This window comes from Homo sapiens, chromosome 15 (assembly GCF_000001405.40).
Source record: "Homo sapiens chromosome 15, GRCh38.p14 Primary Assembly".
Classification (NCBI taxonomy): domain Eukaryota; kingdom Metazoa; phylum Chordata; class Mammalia; order Primates; family Hominidae; genus Homo; species Homo sapiens.
In genome coordinates, this window is record NC_000015.10 from 88,091,207 (window position 1) to 88,111,622 (window position 20,416).

Sequence of the window (20,416 nt, forward strand, 5' to 3'; positions counted from 1 at the left end):
ACGGATGCCAAAAGAAACTTGGGAAAGACCAGCAAAAATGCTGGGAATTAGGGCAGATTCTCTTAAAGCTGGGGAAGGAATTAGCAGGAATGGCAAATGTATGTCATGTCAAAGGTCAACCCTGATCAACTGGTAGTGGTAATACTGTTTCCCATATCCAATAACATAAAAATTAAATGACAGTTCAAAAATACAAAACTCATACTACTTTTACCTTCACTTATCGTTTCCTCTGCTCTCCTCTTACCCATTGATCAAATGGCAGTGGACAACCAAATGACTGTGTTGAGAAGTATTCTGTGCCTGATTTCAAGCCTAACAGTGCCATGATCAATTAGTGATGTCTGCTGTACGCACAAGGGTAGGGAGATCACACACATGAATTAGTGATATCTGCCATGGGCACAAGGGTAGGGAGATCACTCACATCAATTAGTGATGTCTGTCATGGGCACAAGAGTAGGGAGATCACACACATCAATTAGTGATGTCTGCCATGGACACAAGGGTGGGAGATGACACACATCTGACCCATATTTGTCGACCTGAGGGAAGCGGTAAATGTTCCTTGGTCATGGCTCTCAGACACTTTTTATCTCCATGACTCACCTGCCAGCCTAGTGTCCCCAAGATTATGAGCAATTCCTGTGTGCTATCTAAAACTCCACCCCTTTCTGCCCTACTCAAGAACACATATCAGAATGCAAGTTAGCAAAACCACCATGAATCTGCCCCAATCTATTAAAAGAAGTAAATCTTCTGCAAAAGGCAGCATTTTAATATTGGTAACAAATTACTTGCAACCCATCTCACAGTAGATCACACATCACAACAAGGCAAATGAGAACCATGGCTCTGAAGCCCACTTCTGCCTTACATAGGTGCAGCAGCACCAAAGCACAGGTTCTTGAGCAGCTTGTTTCTACTTTGCCTGCAGCTTAGTCTCAGCCTCAAGCTTCTCAACAACCTGGCAACTCCCCCAGCAATCAGAGCTGGCACATCAGATGAAATATGATGGCTATCTCAGCCGCTCAGTGTCATTCTTGGAGGGCTGGGCCACGTCTCTAGTCACTGAAGCTCCTTAACTTATATCATCATCAAGGCTCCGACTGCATGGCCACAAAAGTCAGGCCCTATTATCAGACCTGCTGCCTTTGATCATTAATCCTGAAACATACAAGCAACTGCTGCACCTTTGGCAGGTGAGAGCCCATACACAGGACCAGAGCTTGGTTAAATCTCTGGTAGGTTGCATTCCCACCCCCTGGCATCTATAGGTACCCATGGTGTTGACTCTCTCAGAAAAATGTGGCCACAAGCCAGACTGGCCAGAGGTTTGTCCCAATAGTATGAAGGTGTGTCCATTTCTTATGGCTGCTGTAACAAATTCCCACAAACTCAGTGGCTTATTCTCTCACAGTTCTGCAGGCACAAGGTTGGCAATCAGTATTGCTGTTCTGAAATCAAGGCATCAGTAGGGCTGCACTCCCTCTGGAGGCTCTGGGTAGAGTCTGCTCCTTGTCTGTTTCAGCTTCTTTCTAGCAGCTGATGGCATTCCTTGGCTTGTGGCTACATCACTCCAATCTTCAAGGCCAGCACCTTCAAATCCCTGCATCTCTGTCTCACTGCCTTCTCTGTGCATGTTCAAATCACCCTCTGCCTCTCCCTTACAAAAATGCACATTCTTGCCTTCAGGACCTACCTGGATAATCCAGGATAATCTCCCCAAATCAAGATCCTTAACTTAATCACATCTACAAAGACCCTTTCCCTGTACAAGATGACATATACAGGTTCAGGGATTAGGACCTGATTTTTTGTTTCTGGTTTTTTTTTTTTTGGCTTTGGGGTTTTTTTTGTTTTTTTTGTTTTTTTTTTTTTGTTGGGGAGACAACCTTATTCTGCCTACCACAGAAGGTAAAACCAAGTGTCATTTTTACCTCAACGTAAACATGAATTTTTTTCCCTTAATAAGGAATCTCAAACATATGGAGAAGTGTTTTCTGGCAAAGAGGAACTTCAATTTGGATCACAAAATCAAACATCTATTCTTCCTCTGGAAAATGCCAATTCTGTCTGCAGGGAGTGGGAAAAAAAGGGAGGGGGGAAGGAAGAAAGGAAGGGATGATATTCTCCTATAACCACCAGTTTCAATCTTAGGGTAGCATGATTAGAAAGCAGGAAGGGGAGGATTTGAAAGGAACATTTACAGTAGACCTGCTATGTGCCAGGCAGCCTTGCTCACTTACTCTTCTTCTCATGCTTATGGATGGGTGTCAGTTTCTCTCCTTAACAGATGAGGAAACCCATTCCAGACCACACAGCTCATAAATGGCAGTCAGGATTTAAATAGACAGGCTCTGTCTTCATCTCAAAGTCATGTTATTTCTGCCATAGCATACCTGTCTCCAATGATGCACCTGATCATTGTTATGAAGAACATGTGGTCTGATCCCTGAATCAGCAGTGCAAACCCAACAGCATGGGCATAATCTGCCATGAGCACTATGGACCAGAAGACAGGGTTCTTTCTTTGGACTCAGTAAGGATTCCTTTAACACTCTCTGTGGGCCTCAAGCAGGGGTTGTAACACTCTCTGTGGGCCTCAAGCGGGGGGGTTGCTATAAAGTTAATATTAATCATATTAGCTTTCTACTTATCTTGTACATGTTGTTATCAATTATTGACTGTCTCAACAGCACGAGGTGGTATTGCCTTCCCCAATCCTATGGGAAACTGAGGCTTGGGGAGGGCAAACAGCCTCAGCAAGGTCACCTGTGTGGTGGTGCCAGGATTTGACCTAAACCCTCCCTAATTCCAAATCCCATAATACAAACAGGGGATGCACTCTCACTCCTCCCCAAGCACACTGTGTGGCTCCTTGGCAAGTCTTTAAAAAGCCAGTGGAAGGGGCTCTTCTTGCTGCAGCCTTTGGAAGAAGTGGGCTGCAGGAAGGGGCTTAAGAATAAAAAGAAGTCGGCCGGGCGCGGTGGCTCACGCCTGTAATCCCAGCACTTTGGGAGGCTGAGGCGGGTGGATCATGAGGTCAGGAGATCGAGACCATCCTGGCTAACAAGGTGAAACCCCATCTCTACTAAAAATACAAAAAAAAATTAGCCGGGCGCGGTGGCGGGCGCCTGTAGTCCCAGCTACTCAGGAGGCTGAGGCAGGAGAATGGCGTGAACCCGGGAAGCGGAGCTTGCAGTGAGCCGAGATTGCGCCACTGCAGTCCGCAGTCCCGACTGGGCGACAGAGCGAGACTCCGTCTCAAAAAAAAAAAAAAAAAAAAAAAAAAAGAATAAAAAGAAGTCTGCCAGCAGCGTCCCCAAAGCAGACCCCTCCCACCCTCCAGAGACAGCTGAGAAGGAAGAATGAGATCATACTCATGAAACTCATGAAATACTCAGCCTTCTTGGGAAGAAGGATGACATGTAGAATGTGAGCCTGGGCTTTCTCCTAGGGCTGGGCCATGCACAGATTTGCAAGCCATGGCCTGGGGACCATCTGATGTCTACAGCCCTAGCTGACTGAGCAAGGCCCCAGTGCCCTGCAGACGTGAATGTCCCTCCTTAAACACTTGATTTACTCCCAGGGAATGACTTAGACAGTGGGAAGAATATGGCTCAGTGTTTCCTGTTGCTGTCAATTATTATTATTGCTTAAATTAAGCTGTTTTAACTCCATCGTAACAGACTGAATCTGATTGGCCAAATGTTTATTAGAGAATTATTAGTAGAAATTGAACAGCTAACTGAGGATGGAAGTCTCACAGATCTTGTTTAGACAAGCAATGGCTTCCAATACCCATTACCTGGGAGCTGTGGCTATGGCCAAATTGATGGCACTCTGGCGGACACCACAACACCTGTGATCGTGAGCCCAGACTCTGCCTTGGCAGCAATGACATTCAATCACTGCAAGAAGGAAGAGTGAGAACAGCTTGTGTTCTCTAGGGGTTGACTGCCTTCAAGTCAATGGTCCCATGTGAGAATTTAATAGTCTTCTCAGAATATGCCCTGGTTGGAAAGCCACATAAAGAAATGGCTGCTATTTGGAGAAAATGTCTCAACAAAGATGGCTTTAGCCCACTCTATTCTCACCAAGAGATATATCTGACCAAGTACATTGCAGAAATCAAAGGACTGAGCCAAAGCTTTCTGAACTGGATGACCCAACCCTTCCTAGAGTTTCTGGGGCTGATCAGCGATGAGTGGTCTCCATTGAACCATGGCTCACTTACAGGGTGTCAATGTTGTCAATGGCATTTTTGGGAAACCTGCTTGGAGTCAGAAGGAGGAAAGCAGGGTTTGTATAACTCTCAGTCCACTTTCAGACCTGCTTGCTATCCTCCACAATTAACTGCAGGTCAACATCAAATCTGCAAATATAAACTCCAAAAAATATAATAAATTAACCAGAGCAAGAAAACCAGTTGAATCCAAATAAATAGGTGCATAACCCTCCCCAGGTTTAGAAGGTTTGAGGAGTACCTTTAGGTCTAAAGATTGAGCACCAGTAATTTGGAGGATGAGGTAGGGCGTAAAGGTGAAGCTTGGATACTCCAATTGAAATGATTATACAGCCACAAGAAGTTGCAAAAATAGTACAGAAAGGTCCCATGTACCTATGCCCCAGCTTATCTGAGTGGTAACATCTTACATAACCATAACACATTATCAAAACCAGGAAATCAGCCCAATTTTACTCAGATTTCACCAGAAAGCCCAATCTCCTTCTGCAGTGGTCATTTGTCCATTTTTAGCAGCCCAGCATTCATTCCCTAACAGCGATTTGATTTTCTATCAAGGAATTATCTTTCTTCTATTGTGTGTAGTATAAATGGGAAAATAATTTTAGGTGGTGACCTCTAAAAGGAAGCCAAAGTGACTTTGCTCCCCATTTCCTTCCCCAGAACAAACAGAGGGAGGGAACACAGGGCATCCTAATCATGCTGTTCTCCGAGATGCTAACTGTCCTGCCAGTTTATTCCAGCATGGGACAAAATCTTATTCTCTCCCATCCCCAATCCTGACCAGCCCTCTCCTCCAGGCCTTATTACATCCAGAGAGCCCCCAGCATCCCTCCATCATTTACATTTTGCCTGGTTAGCCAGAATCAGTTTCTGTGGCTTATATAAAAGAATATGGACTGAATCACCCACGATGACTATCAACCAAGGATGACCTGGTTGGGAAAAGCCCCACTGGAGAAGACCCTACTTCACCATGACACAGGCCCAGAGGCAGGTGCTGCTGAGGCCCCACTCATATCCCTGGCCCACCTGAGTCTCCTGGCAAAGACAGCAGGCAGTTCAGCCCCCAAACTACACCCACCTCAAGAGCCTGCATCCTTTTTCTTTGCCTAAGGACTTTCTCCAGCACAGTAAGAGCAAGCTTGGCCTTAAGCAGGTACAACCCAGAAGTGTGGGGTAATTAATACCACTGGAACAACCCATAACTAATTAATGGAGGACAGGAGTCACTAAATACATGTTCCAGTCCCTGCATCTGCAGTGGAGAGCAACTTTGAGGCAGGTGCCACCCAGTTTCTCAGACGGTCCCCAGCAGGACTAAGCTCCAGTTACCCACTGCAGCAATCCACTCACTGTCACGCTCTTTCTTGACTTTATCATCTCCCTTTCATATTGCCCGCTTGCTCCCTAATGCATCCTGGAATCACCTCCCAAATAAATTACCTGCACATCAAGTCCTTATCTCAGAGTTGACTTTTGGAGAACCAAAACTAAGATTGAAAAGCAAAGAAGGATTTGACAGCCTTTCTAAACAAAAGAAGAGAGTCTGGTAGTGCTTTAGGCTTATGGCTCAAAGCTGTGCTATCCACAACAGTGGTCACTAACCACATGTGGCCACTGAGCACCTGAGACTTGGCTAGTGACACAGGCTGACATGATAGCATCTCTGATATATTGGGCTAAATAAAATATAGTATTACAATCAATTTCACCTATGTCTTTTTATTATTAACATGTCTACTAGAAAATTTAACGTTACATCCTTGGCTGGAATATATTTCTATTGAACAGTGCTGGTTAAAGAGGTGTGTCAGAGAACAGTTGGGATATTATTGCTACTATCATTAATGCTGTTAGCATGACAAATGTACCAGAGGACTATGAAGAGTGTGATTATGTATATGTCTACCTGAGTAACTCCTAGAGTGACAGGAACGCACTGATAAGAACTATTTTTACACAGTACAAGAAGAGGAATGGGAAGAGATAGTCTCATACACTGATAGAGGCTTTGTTGATTGGTCAAACTCTTCTCTAACACACTTTAGCAACATGTTTATCCTCACGCTTAATATAGTAATTCCACCACCAGGAATCTAAGGTATAGGATAATCCTAACTAAGGAAAACATACATACAAAGATGTTCACCTCATTGTTACTGATAATAGTATTTGTAACTTAAGTGACCAATAAACGGGGAATGATTAAATTTAAAAAGACAGATTTACTTGGATTGAAAAGCACGCAATCTTTAAAAACGATGGTTATAATGATTACATAATAATATGGAGACTATTTATGATATACTATGTGAAAGTAAAGACACAAAATTGCATCTACAGCATGATAAATATGTAACAAGGACTAGAAGGAAAGGTGCCAAGATGTAAACAGTGTTTATTTTGGGGTGCTAGCACAAGGGTGATTTACTGTTTTTCTCTATTTCCCAAGTTAGTTTCATGGACATTTGCTACTTCGGTAACAGAGAACCAAGAAAACGACTATCTTCTTTAAAAAATGTGAACTGCTAAAAGTGTGTACTTTTTGCAAAGGATGTTTTATTCTACAGTGTCCTTCCATTTTGCCAAATTTATGTTATAAAAATCTATCTTTTCCTCTGACAAAAAGAAACAAAGGTAAATCTAGTTCAAGCTGCTACTGAAAGGATAAGGCCAATAGGAAAAGCACTGTTTATAAGCAGCAAGTGGACTTTGAGCACGGAAGAGCAACCGGGGTTTATAAAGAGTAAATCACACCCCACCACGGAAGTGATATCTTTTCTTAATTGGCAAAAACGAGCGAGTGGCCAAGGAAAAGGGAGGCAAGGTGAGAGAGTGGGATTTCAGAGAATCTGTTGACGTAGCATCTACCAAAATCTCCCTTGGAAAATTAATCCAAATTGGCTGGACTACGCATGCCATCAGCTCCCAACATTAACAAGGATCATAAGCTTTATTTACAAGGGCTTATCTTTCAAGCCACTCGTGGAGCTTCAGCAAGCCTCGCGCATGAGACATTAAGGCGCTTGGACAAGGATAACAGCAACCTGGGTGGGATGGAAATACTCACCAGGAGACGGTAAACAACAGAACTTATGATAAAATGCAGTTTCTTTTCTTGAGCAGAGGGCCCCAGATAGCGGGCCAGCTATGGCGAGGTTGGAGTGAGGCCTAGAGAACGTGTTAACATCTTTATTAACAATCTGGAAGAAGATGTAAACAGAACATTAATTCACAAGGAATAAATCCGCAGGGGCCAGAAGACTAGAGGAATTACAGAAAAGGATGGGGAGGAGCAAAACCAAGAGGAAAGGAACATGGGAGAGATGGAGTGTGAAAGACAGGCATTCATCTTGGGCCCAAAATCAAGGGAGCTGCTCAGAAACTCAGTAATCAAGAGAGATAATACTGTAATGTGATATGCTATGAAAACAAAATTAATGCAAAAAATCTGTAGGTTTAAAAAAGTCTTGATTACTGGGGTTTTTAATTTGTGGCACCCTCTTAAATTTTTTGCCCAAAGCGAAGGGCTCATATACCTCACCTTAATCTTGCAAAGGTGGTAGGGGTGATGAACGACAAGATGTAACAGCCAAGGCCACCTGGAGAGCACAGGGCTGAAAGAGCATTGTAGTGGGTGGTGTGTAAGCCTTGGTTTTTCCAGAATAGAGGCTGAAGATCATCCAGGAGGCTGTGAGAGGCTCCAGGGAGGTGACCGGTACAGTGTATTGGGCAGCTTATTAGTAGAAAGATGGCAGCAACTTGGAAGGAATTCACAGAACCAGGGAAAGCCGTCAAAATGTGGAGCACGACTGACTTTGGAAGGGAAAAGGAAAACATGGTCCAGCTGATGAAAAGAAAAAAGATGATTTGGAGAAGGAACATGGAAGAGAGAAGGTGCTTTGGCTACAGTACCTGCTAAAAGCTAAAAAAGTCTCTCATCAAGAGAGGCTGGACAAGGGGAAATGACTGCAAAGACGTGTATTATGAACAGGAACATGGATTCAAAATTTAGATCCTTCATTTTACTGACTGATCTCATCCCTTAGTTGGCCAGGTATTCCCTGAAACTCTTAATGATTCATGAAACAAAGAGGCTAGAACTTAAGTCCATAAAAGTGCAAAATGCCACAGCAGTAGGAACATGGCATCGGGAGCTAAGAGCCTGGGTGCTAGCCGGGTCTGCCACAATCAAAACTGTCCTCAGAGAAGTCACTTGATCTCTCTGAGTCTCCAATTCTGCATCCAAAAGCAGGGGTGGGGGAAACTTAAAAGCAACTGTCTTTTATTCTATGACCACATTGACTTAATAGTTACTAAGTGCTCACATGAACAAAAAACAAACATTAAAACTGGAAATTGAACGCTATGGTGGGGCGGTTCACATAGTTAGAGATAACCGACAGCATGGACTAGCCCCACACACATCTACTGAAAAGGCTTCAGGATTTGGGGAGGGGGACATGGAGTTGACAAGGATACTTTGCACCTTCTCTGGCCTTTTGAGGACTCTACGGTTAAAAGTTAACTCCAAGGGCAGCAATGGACAGACAAAGCTTAAACTACAGATTGTTTAAGCTTGTTTAATTAAGCTTGAATTACTCTTCCAGTGATGAGGATAAAGGTTTCCCCATCAAATTCCTTGAAGCTCACTCCTCACTCCTGTGTTCCCTAAAACCCCCATGTGCTGGCCCCAGTGCTGGCCACCTTTCAGATATAAGCTTTCCTAAGATTCTGTTGTGAAAGGGAGACACACACAGCAAAGAAGCAAAATGAGAATCAAGCTCTGCTCCAAAGAACAATGCAAGAGGCTTCGGTGCTATTACAAGTGTGTTATAACCAAACAGCCAAAAGGACTGATCCTCCCAACACCCCTGTTCTCCACAGGGCTCCCATCTGGAGAGCCATATGCAGAAAATACTGGCTGGGGGGAACCAAGTATTACATAGTTAACAACTGAGCTGGCAGCCAGCAACTCCCAGTAGTGAGCTGGTAAACCTCAGATGGCGGAAACAGAGTTTACCATTCCATCTTCTGTGAATTCAAGCAAGCCTCAGCTAATTTACCCACCTGATAGCAGACAGCAGTGCAGAGAACAAAAAGAGACATGCAGCCAGGATGTCACAGAAGAAGGGCATAAGAAAAAGTATACTGCATGGGTACTGACCTTTCAGGCAAAGGAAACCTGCCCACTTGAAAACATGACCCTCTGAGTGAATGCCTGGGGCTCTGTCCCATCAAATTATAAACTCCTCCTACCTTAAAAATCTGATCTTTGACAAACCTGACAAAAACAAGAAATGGGGAAACGATTCCCTATTTAATAAATGGTGCTGGGAAAACTGGCTAGCCATATGTAGAAAGCTGAAACTGGATCCCTTCCTTACACCTTATACAAAAATTAATTCAAGTTGGATTAAAGACTTAAATGTTAGACCTAAAACCATTAAAACCCTAGAAAAAAACCTAGGCAATACCAGTCAGGACATAGGCACGGGCAAGGACTTCATGTCTAAAACACCAAAAGCAATTGCAACAAAAGCCAAAATTGACAAATGGGATCTAATTAAACTAAAGAGCTGCTGCACAGCAAAAGAAACTACCATCAGAGTGAACAGGCAACTTACAGAATGGGAGAAAATTTTTGCAATCTACTCATCTGACAAAGGGCTAATATCCAGAATCTATAATGAACTCAAACAAATTTACAAGAAAAAAACAAACAACCCCATCAAAAAGTGGGCGAAGGATATGAATAGACACTTCTCAAAAGAAGACATTTATGCAACCAAAAGACACATGAAAAAATGCTCATCATCACTGGCCATCAGAGAAATGCAAATCAAAACCACAATGAGATGCCATCTCACACCAGTTAGAATGGTGATCATTAAAAAGTCAGGAAACAACAGGTGCTGGAAAGGATGTGGAGAAATAGGAACACTTTTACACTGTTGGTGGGACTGTAAACTAGTTCAACCATTGTGGAAGTCAGTGTGGCGATTCCTCAGGAATCTAGAACTAGAAATACCATTTGACCCAGCCATCCCATTACTGGGTATATACCCAAAGGATTATAAATCATGCTGCTATAAAGACACATGCACTCGTATGTTTATCGCGGCACTATTCACAATAGCAAAGACTTGCAACCAACCCAAATGTCCAACAATGATAGACTGGATTAAGAAAATGTGGCACATATACATCATGGAATACTATGCAGCCATAAAAAATGATGAGTTCGTGTCCTTTGTAGGAACATGGATGAAACTGGAAACCATCATTCTCAGCAAACTATCACAAGGACAAAAAACCAAACACCACATGTTCTCACTCATAGGTGGGAATTGAACAATGAGAACACATGGACACAGGAAGGGAACATCACACACCAGGGACTGTTGTGGGGTGGGGGGAGTGGGGAAGGATAGCATTAGAAGATTTACCTAATGCTAAATGACGAGTTAATGGGTGCAGCACACCAAATGGCACATGTATACATATGTAACAAACCTGCACGTTGTACACATGTACCCTAAAACTTAAAGTATAATAATAATAAAATAAAATAAAAAAATAAAATAGGCTGAAAAGAGGAAGCGGAAATGGGGTATCCCCAACCACCAGAACCACAAGGACCTGCCCAGAACCACAGTGACCTCTGCCCCTGCTTCAGGCCAGCATCTCCCCTGGTCCTATGCAACAGCATTATAGATGGTACAGGAAGAAGATGCTGACAGAAGAAGCAAGAGATGGTTCTTGATGATGTCCCCAGCATAAGAGGCATTCTAGAAGGTGCTTCTAATTCTTCATGAATTGCTAGATTTGAATTAAGCATATTTTTGGTATATTTAGTTATACCAAAAAAACACAATCTTTCTATACTTAGGCCACCTGGAAAGGACAAAAGAAAAAGAAACTTGCAGGAATGGTTAATGTGTGCAAAAACATAGAAGGAATAAGACCTAGTGTTCAGTAGACACAATAGGATGTCTACAGTTAACAATAATTTATTACCTGTTTCAAAATCACTAAAAGAGTGGAACTGGAATGTTCCTAACACAAAGAAATGATAAATGGTTGAGTCGATGGATATCCCAGTTACCCTGATTTGATTATTACATATTACGTGCTTGTATCAAAATTTCACATGTACCCCATAAGTATGTACAACTATTATATATCCATGATAATTAAAAAAAGACACAGGGAAGGAAGAATTGGCTTGAAGATTCCCAAAAGAATGTGCCATCCCCCTCCGAAATCTCCCCAAGAAGATTCTACCATAGCTGAATTTCAATTAGCATCCTCTAATCAACTAAGAAATGCTCCAACTCTACCAAGAGGATCACCTTCCAGAATCCGACCACCCTTCAAGGCCTGTCTCTATTAGCTCAAAAGGCCTGTTGCACAAAGGTATAACCACCCTCCAGTCAGAGTTGATGAAGGCGTTTTGATGGTCCCTGCCATATGACTCACAGCCTTTGGTAGTAATACGAAAAACAGCCTAATAGAAAGTACCTACTGGGCACAGAATAAGAACTACATGGATGTCAATACATTAATCCTTACAATAACCTGTGTTACAGATATTATAACTCCATTTTATGCATGACGAACGTAGGCTCAAGGAGGTTAGGCAAGGATGGTTAGTTTTATGTGTCAACTTGGCTAGATGGTAGGACTTATTTCCTAAACCCTAATCTAGGTGTCCTTGTGAAGGTATTTTATACATGTGATTAGTACCCACAATCAGTTGGTTTTAAGTAAAGATTACCTTGATAATATAAATGGGCCTCATCCAATCACTTGAAGGTCTTAAGAACAAAAACTGAGGCATCCCAGAGAAGAAATCCTGCCTCAAGACCACAATATCAACTCCTGCCTGAGTTCCCAGAATGCCAGCCTGTCCTACAGATTTCAAACTTGCCAGGCTTCACTACTGCTTGAGCCAATTCCTTAAAATAAATCACACACACACAACGACGGACAGATATCTGATTGGTATGAGAGAGGCAGAGAAGAACATGATTTTTTCTGATTCACCAGAGTGGCGAAAGATGGGGCAGCTTCAATACTGCCCATAGGTTTAACAGTCAAAAAAGACCTTAGATTGTTCAAACATATAAACTTCTTTCCTTCTTTGGATCAAAATCCCATCTACCCGTGGTAGTCATCCACTCTCAGTAAGACTCTGGGAGGGGATTCATAGAAGACAGTGACCTTGAAAGGGCACAGTTCTTCAGTGCCATGCTATAAGCCATCCCCACATGAAAGCGAGGGGTTAAGGCATATGGAAACCCCTCCAATAGCCTCCCATTCCCCCACAGAGTCCCCACCTGAACCAGAGATAACAAGCTCCTTACATTTTGAGAGCCAAAGGGCAATAGGAGACTCTAGATATATCCTAGAGGTTGTGGCTGGAGCAGCACAACCAGGAATCCATTCCATGGGATGCCAATGGACAATTCTACACTAGAGACATTCTTCTGTATAACTGGCCACTGACTTAGGTTTTCTGTGCTACTAAACTTCCTTTTGAGTCTAGCATTCTTGCTATAAGGGACCTCCTCTTCCCCCAAATAGCCAGGCATCTGGAAGAAGACATCTGCTTTGCCTCCAAAAGCAGAGCTGATCCTGGGTCAGAGAATACCACTTTATAGAATATTTTACTACAAATAACACTAAGTTACTGGTTTCAATATGACAAGGTGGATGAGACGTCAGGGACACATCCACCTTTGACGTTGAAAGATGACGACTTTTCACTGCATGCAGGTATGTCTAGAACTGTTGCATGAGATTCCTTCCAGTTTGGACACGGGTAGATTATAGTTTTAAAGTAAAATACATTTATCAGCTTCCTTTTGAAATCCATTCTACTGTCTCTAATGAAGATGCACATTTCCTTAGAACAACGTTTATCTTTCCGACTGTAACCTGAGCTCATGTCTTGAAAATGTTTGGCCACTTTTTCCTTGCTGTGTGGGCTTCCTTAACAGTCTTTCACGAGGCTAAAGATTACAGCTGCTGGCTTCTCACTCTGTCATCAGCACAATGTTTTGACTTTCAGTGAGTTGCCCTTGACAGCCTCATGATGGTGGCACTTCCCAGCTATCAGCACTGAAGTTCAGTTACTTCAAATTGTGTGTGTGTCTGCCCCTTCCTGGCTGTCTGCCCTCTCCCAGTCCTTTCTGCAGCCTGAGCCATCACATCTTCATGCTCTCTTGTCTCTTCCTACTGCCAATCCTGTGTGCTGAGCTCAAGGAAACTATGACTTCAGGGGCAGTGAGGAGAAGGCATTCCTAAACATCTCATTGGCATCAGCAGGGAGATGGAAAGGAGAACAGAGGGGACAAGTTATACACCTGCAAGGGCTAAGAGGCCAGAGTCAAGGAGTTAATTCTCTACTGCCCTGTCCTTTTATGTTTAGAAGACAGAGCACCCTTACTCTGCTTCTGCGAGTTGGGCTGTCCCTTTGCTTGATGAGACTCTGCTGGCTGTGGCTCATCCTGGGGGCAAGCCCTGAAATTCTCTAGTCCTGACCCTCTTCATGGATTGATGTCTCAATTCACTTTAGTTAAGAGAGGCTGTGCATGGGCTCTGATTACTGAGACTTCATTCATCTTCCCAAATGACTAGAAAGTATCATCATAAATAATTCAAACTAAACTACACCTAGAGAGAGAAAGCACAACCCAGTGAGGCCATGGACCTGATTGTCAACCACGGCTCCTCGTCCCCAGCTTATTCTTAACGTTGCCAATTCCAGGCACCATCTGCAGCTCTCCTAGGTGCTGGAGAGTATTGGCCTGACTGTCTACATTTAACGTGTCAGAGATGACTCTCCAGATTTAGGGGAACATTCAAGGAAGGCCCAAGGACCTAGCCACTGCTACCTTAAAGAGTCATGGATGGTTGGGGTTAGAAGAGACCTTAGCAATGAGGTGTTCCAATCAGCTGGCTTATTCCAAGTAATGAGAAGAGAGGATCAGAAAGAACAAGTGACTAGCTAAGGCCACACAGCCATGCAGTCCCAGAGGCAGGAGAAGAACTGCATCTCCCTACTATTGGTGTAGTACACGCTCCACTAGTTCCACATACGCTGCTTCTCTGGGTCTGGATTTACCAGCAGGGCTATATCTTTTCCTTGTGCTTCACACAGACATTAAATAAAAACAACTCCATAAAGTATTATATGTTCATCAAAGGAAAGGTACCTCATGAGTGGAAATACACACACACACACACCCCCACACCAGAAGCACTGCCTTTCCCCCACCTCTGAGATCCCTAAAACTAAGCCAGTGGTGGCCACTTCCTGAGCATGGACCACGTGGAGTCCCTGTGCCAAATGCTTTCCATATGTAATCCCAGTCAAATCTCTCAATACCTTCTCACGTGAGCACCATTCACGTTTACAGATGAGGACAGCAGAAGTTCAGAAAGTTTAAGTGACTCACCCAAATCAAAAAGAAAGTCTCAAGTCTAGGACTCCAATTCCAGTCTTAGCCCAGAGTGTTCACCCGTAGTCACTGCTTTCCGCTGCCTCCATTGCACTCTGTGAGCATTTGTAGGTGTGTATGTGTGCGTATGTTCAAGGATTCTGTTGTCAAGATTACATATTTTCATTGGTCCATTCCGGCTTACCCAGTGGTTTCTGCTCATGGCAAAGCTGTGTCCCTCAGGCCTCTGAAATGCCCCACAGTGGATGACCCATAATTGCTAATGGATGCAGCGGCTGCTACAGCGGCCGGCAGGACAAGGTTGGCTTGGCTTCTGCCAAGTTCCCCTACCAGAGGCTCCCTGAACAAAGCCGAGCTGAAAACATGCACAGAGGGAGCTTTACTGGGCCAAGGAGCTGAGCAACCCTGGCCTGTGTCTTCCTTATGCTCATTCACATTTTATAAATGCATACTTTGCCCTTTTGCCATGCAGCCTTGGGGCAAATGGATTAGATTCTGAATTAACCAAGTGAAATGGTATAATACACAAGCAACGTGAAAAGAAAGAATGTAAGAAAGGAAAATGAGCTTTGCAGAGTAATGGAAAAGCTAGAGACAGGGTTACTGAATGACACGGAAGGATGCTTAAGAAAGAGTGTTGTGTGAAAAAAATAGGTCAAACACTGTTTGAATTGCTCAAGACCATTTTCACTTAAGTGTACATTTAAAATATGTATGAGAATGGGCCAGGCATGTGGCTCATGCCTGTAATCCCAGCACTTTGGGAGGCCAAGGGGGAACGGATCATGAGGTCAGGAGTTCGAGACCAGCCTGACCAACATGGTGAAACCCTGTCTCTACTAAAAATACAAAACAATTAGCTGGGCATGGTGGTGGGTGCCTGTAATCCCAGCTATTCAGGAGGCTGAGGCAGGAGAATCGCTTGAACCTGGGAGGTGGAGGTTGCAGTGAGCTGAGATCGCACCACTGCACTCCAACCTGGGAGACAGAGCAAGACTCTGTCTCAAAAAGTAAAAAAAAAAAAAAGTATGGGAATATAGATACTCAGGTACAGATCTACAGTTACATAGATATATGTGCATATGTACATATATACATTTACATATATGTATTCACACATATGATGCTAACAGTGGTCATTTCTGAATAATAAGATTACCACTAATTTTTTATACAATATTTTCTAGATTTTTATATAATGAATATATATTCCTTTTATAAAAATAAGTCCACAGGCCAGGTGCAGTGCTCACATGTGTAATCCCAGCTCTTTGGGAGGCTGAGGTGAGCAGATCGTTTGAGCTCAGGAGTTCAGGACCAGGCTGGGCAACATGGCAAAACCCTGTCTCTACAAAAACTACAAAAATTAGCCAGGCAGGGCAGCATGTGCCTGTAGTCCCAGCTACTCAGGAGACTAAAGTGAGAGGATCACTTGAGCCCAGGAGTTGGAGGCTACAAAGAGCTGTGATCACATTACTGCACTCCAGCCTGGGTGACAGAGTGAAACCACGTCTCAAAAAGAAAATCTATGAAGTGCAAAATAAAGGCATGTCCCTTCCTAGGCTCAATGCACAGTTTCAAGAGCTTCTGTTGGTCTAGAAGAACTGAAGAGGTCATGGTAGCACCCCCATCCACACCAGGACTCTGTCTCCAAACTTCACAGGCTCCCTGTTCTGAAAGCCCTCCCTGGCCCAATTGTGGCCCATTCCTGGTCTCTCAAGAGCAGTGAGAGACAGGAGCCCAAGGCCTATCCATTTGCACACAGATGTGTCTAATTGGGAAGAATGGATAAAGCCTGCCTGTGTGTGAAATCCTCTGCAGGGAATAGCAACATAAAAATATCACACGATCTCAGACCTGAACCCACCAAATAGAATGTACTATCATCACTAAGTCCCAGTCAGCAGTGGGAGAGCCAAACTGGAAGTGGTCACTACCTGGGCATCCAAGAGACCAACAAGCGGGAGAGGGGCAGAAAGCAGAGATATCCCAATGGCAGGCAAGTAGAGGACCCCAAGGTGGAGAGCAAGCGACATCCTAGAGATACACTGTTGGGCAGGTAGGGGCAGACCCAGAACCAACAGTCAGGACATCAGGAGACGCTGACAGTAGCCCATAGGCAAAGACCCCAGTTGCTGGACACACAGTATCAGGAAGAGCAATTCCAATCTGAAAGTAACAGCAAGACTCCAGGTTCTGAAAGATATGCCATTCTCTTAAGAAAACACTGTGCTCACCAAGGATGAAAAGTGTGCCTTGCTTGTATCTGTATCCCACAGTGCCTACCCTCCATGAAACCCACAGAATGGCTAACATCCCCAAATACACTCCTGCCATTTGGAGAAGCCAAGTATGTGAGTCAGGAAGTAAGAGTCACTGTCACTACCTGCCCGGAGTTCATAGTCTACGCTGGGATCTTGGACACACAGCACAAAAGGAAGTTCATTGCCTATTTTCCTCACTTCTGGCCTCTCAGGATTCAAACCTGGTGATCCTAAAAAGAATAGCCCATATATGCAATGGGTGCTCCTGACAACTCCCACCTCCCACTAGTTCCCATCCTCCTCACTCCATGCTCCCTGTGATCTACCCTCTCCAACTGACAGAATCATAGAATGTTACAACTGAAAGGGACCTTGGAAGCCCTTAATCCAAATCCCTCCAATTATAGAGGATAAAAGTAAAGCTCAAAAGATATCCAAAGATAAATCAGAGTGTAGCCTGGGCTAGAATCCAGATTTCTATAACATTCCATGACACTTTCCAAAATAAAAATTGCAGGGGCCAAAAAACAGACTTGAGTCTCCCTCACTTGGAAGCTATAGCTTTGCTAAGCCAAGTGTGGCTAGCAGACCAATAGGACCAGCCTCATATAAGGAGCTTGGCAGAAATGCAGAACCTCAGGCCCTACCCCAGACCTATCAAACCAGAATCTGCATCATAACAAGATCCCCAGGGCTCCACGTGCACCATAAAGTTCGAGGAGCTATGAAGGAGAGAATTCTCTCTCTAATCCACTTGCACAGTCAGACAAGAAAGAATCCCTCCCTCTCTCTGCCCATCCACCCCTCACTATTTTCCAACCCAACAGAGTGCCTGGAAATTTATGGCAATAACAAAACAACAACAATGCTCCCATTTCTAGTCAGCGGATGCTTCTCCCCCAATCCATGGGGAGTCTTTGCAAGGCACTTAAATTTCCCCGTTAAGCAAACAGCACCACCGCGCAAGGTAGAACAGGTGGCAGATCACTGGCGAGGGCCCGGTGAGCCGCAAGCAGGCTGGGTCATTAAATACTGCAGTGGACAGGTGCAGTAGCCAGGCCTCACGCAGAGGGTGGGGAAAATTGGGGCGTTCAGTCACCTCACCAAAGGAGCACTCTGCAGGAGGGAGAGAAGAGGGGACAGCGTCCTCACCCCAACCTCACCAACCTCGAATCGTGGTCCTTCATCCTTAAGCCACCTAATACCTGACATTAAGCAAGGAGCTCGTCCTTCCTGAAGCTCCTAAAAGAAGCAGGGACAATAATTTTTGTATCACAAGTCACAGTGAAAATCAAATGGAAACATGAAAGTGAAGCACCAAGCACAGTGCCAGAGACGTCGTGGGAGCCCAATAAAGAGAGCTTTTCCCGCCATGTTTTCAGCCCGCATCCCTCCTATTCCTTTAAAGTTCCAAGATATGTGCTCTGGCAGAAAGAGGTGGGGGGCTGGGCGGGGGGCGTTGGGAAAGCCCAGGCTGACAGCCTTAGCTTCCCACTGAAAATCACCTGAGCAGCTATAGAAACAACCAACACCAAGAGCCCATCCACTGAGATTCTGACCCACTGGCTGGGGGAGTAGCCTAGCTGTTGAAATTTTTTAAAGATCCCCATGCGATTCTACCATAAAACCAAGTGTATGAACCACAGCCATAATGGGACCTGCAGATTACTCACAGCTTTTCTGAGTGCAGCAAAAATCATGATTTCTCCCCTCAACACATTAACTGAGTGATTACTACACAGCTGGGGACTAAGCTAATTGCTTTATATACACAATTTCATTTAATTCTCATAAAACCCTGTATGATAAGAATTATCCCTCTCATTTGTCAGCTGAGGGTGTGGAGGCCCAGAATGGTCCATAAGTCACCTGAAGTCCCACAGCTCCCAAGCAGCAGAACTGAGATTCGACCTCAGCCTGTATAGCTCTAAATTTTAATGAGCCCCAGTAGGATGACTGGGGAAGAAATCTTAGTGTCATGGCATGGAAAAGAAGCCATAGCATTGGCCAGATACTGCACAAAGTGGTGGGTAAAGAAAGAGACAATAAGGAAGAAAGAAGATCAGGTAAACATGGAGGTGGGATCTTAGGAAAAGGCAGGTCAGACCTAGCGTCTTCCTGTCTGCAGGCACCGTGGGGTAGGCAGAAGGAAGAAATGCAAGGCAAGAGCTGTTGGATGGAGGAGAACATTCTCCCCCAGAATATCCCTGCCTCCATCTTACAGGCAATCCACAGGTACCAAAAGGAAAGATCCCAGATTATATCTTCACCACAGTAGTAACAAAACTAGGGGTGGTCAGAGGAGGAGCTCCAGGTCCAGCCCTTTGGGTGCAATGCCCAAGGGGCCCAGAGGACATTTATGCACCCTATGCCTTAAGTGGTCTGCTGACATGAGTGGTACTGCAGTGAGCAAACACAACAGTCTACTTGGAGAGGCAAAGCACTAATCAAATGTTCCTGTCAATAACTGTGCAAAGTGCTACAGAGGGAAGGTGCATGAGGAACCTCAGTCTTAGGGAGCATGGAACAAGGCTGGCAAGAGTGGAAACCCTATAGCTCGGTGAGACTGGGGACATGGCAGGAGCTAGACTCCTGGGCCCAATTTTCATTTCAGAACCAGGAGTCTACTACAGAACCCAATTTTCATTTCAAAGTCCTGAGTCTGCTACTGTGATTACAGAGCAGGGCACACACTGAAGGGGCCAGGTCCAGAGCCATGTGGGAGGAGCCCAGATGGAATGGTGGGGTGGCAGTGTGCAAAGAGAGAAGGGACAACTTCAGGAGATATTTAGGTCACAAAGACAAGACTGGGCTGTGCAAGAGCATGGAGGGGTAAAGAGATGGGGACTGGGCAAGAAGACATGTCAAGAATGACTCCTATGTCTCTAGTTTACAGGAAATTCACTGAGATACAGATGATGAGCGATGGGGTGGGGGTTCACCCCGGGCATGGTTTGGGGCTCAATGGCTGAGGCATCTATCCAGGCTGCTGCTTCACACCTGCCTAAGCTGCCTCCTTGAACCTGGATAGGGTCCTTCCAAGGCAAGTGGCTAGTCACGACCTCAGGTGCAATATGGAATTGAGGTTTCTACCAGGAGGTGTTATGTTGTTTCCCGAAGTACTAATACTTGCATCCTTGGAGAGAGAGAAAGACAGCAGAAAGGGGTGGGAGAGTGGATTAAAGGGCCAGGACCAGGGCCAAAAAAGGCCCCATTAACCCGCAGCCAAATGTCCACCTGAGGCTGGGTAAGCAGCTTATTAACTGATAAGAGGACAGTATGAAGCTGTTAGCTTAGGGAGTTTGACACTCACTGGTTTGTGGGAAGGCAGGAGGCTCTCAGGTGATTGAGGGAACTGAAGAATAATCTGTCAAGGGCTTTCTGCAGGTCCCTGGGATGGGGACTCCCTAAGGTTCCCAGCAGCCCTAGGT

The 20,416-nt window shown here is 44.5% G+C and overlaps 1 protein-coding gene across 34 annotated transcripts in view; it reads right to left on the reverse strand.

Moving 5' to 3' along the window:
• NTRK3 (neurotrophic receptor tyrosine kinase 3) overlaps positions 1–20,416 on the reverse strand; it is a 396,989-nt gene that overhangs the window by 231,456 nt on the left and 145,117 nt on the right. The window contains exons 11-12 of one of the 34 annotated variants that reach the window (XR_002957645.2): positions 7,797–8,099; positions 7,309–7,455 (exon numbers count right to left, since the gene is read on the reverse strand). Coding sequence is in view for 1 of the 3 variants with exons in the window: in XM_017022250.3 (XP_016877739.1) it covers positions 8,047–8,099 (53 nt within the window). In the remaining 2 variants the exon portion in view is untranslated. 34 annotated transcript variants of the gene reach the window in all.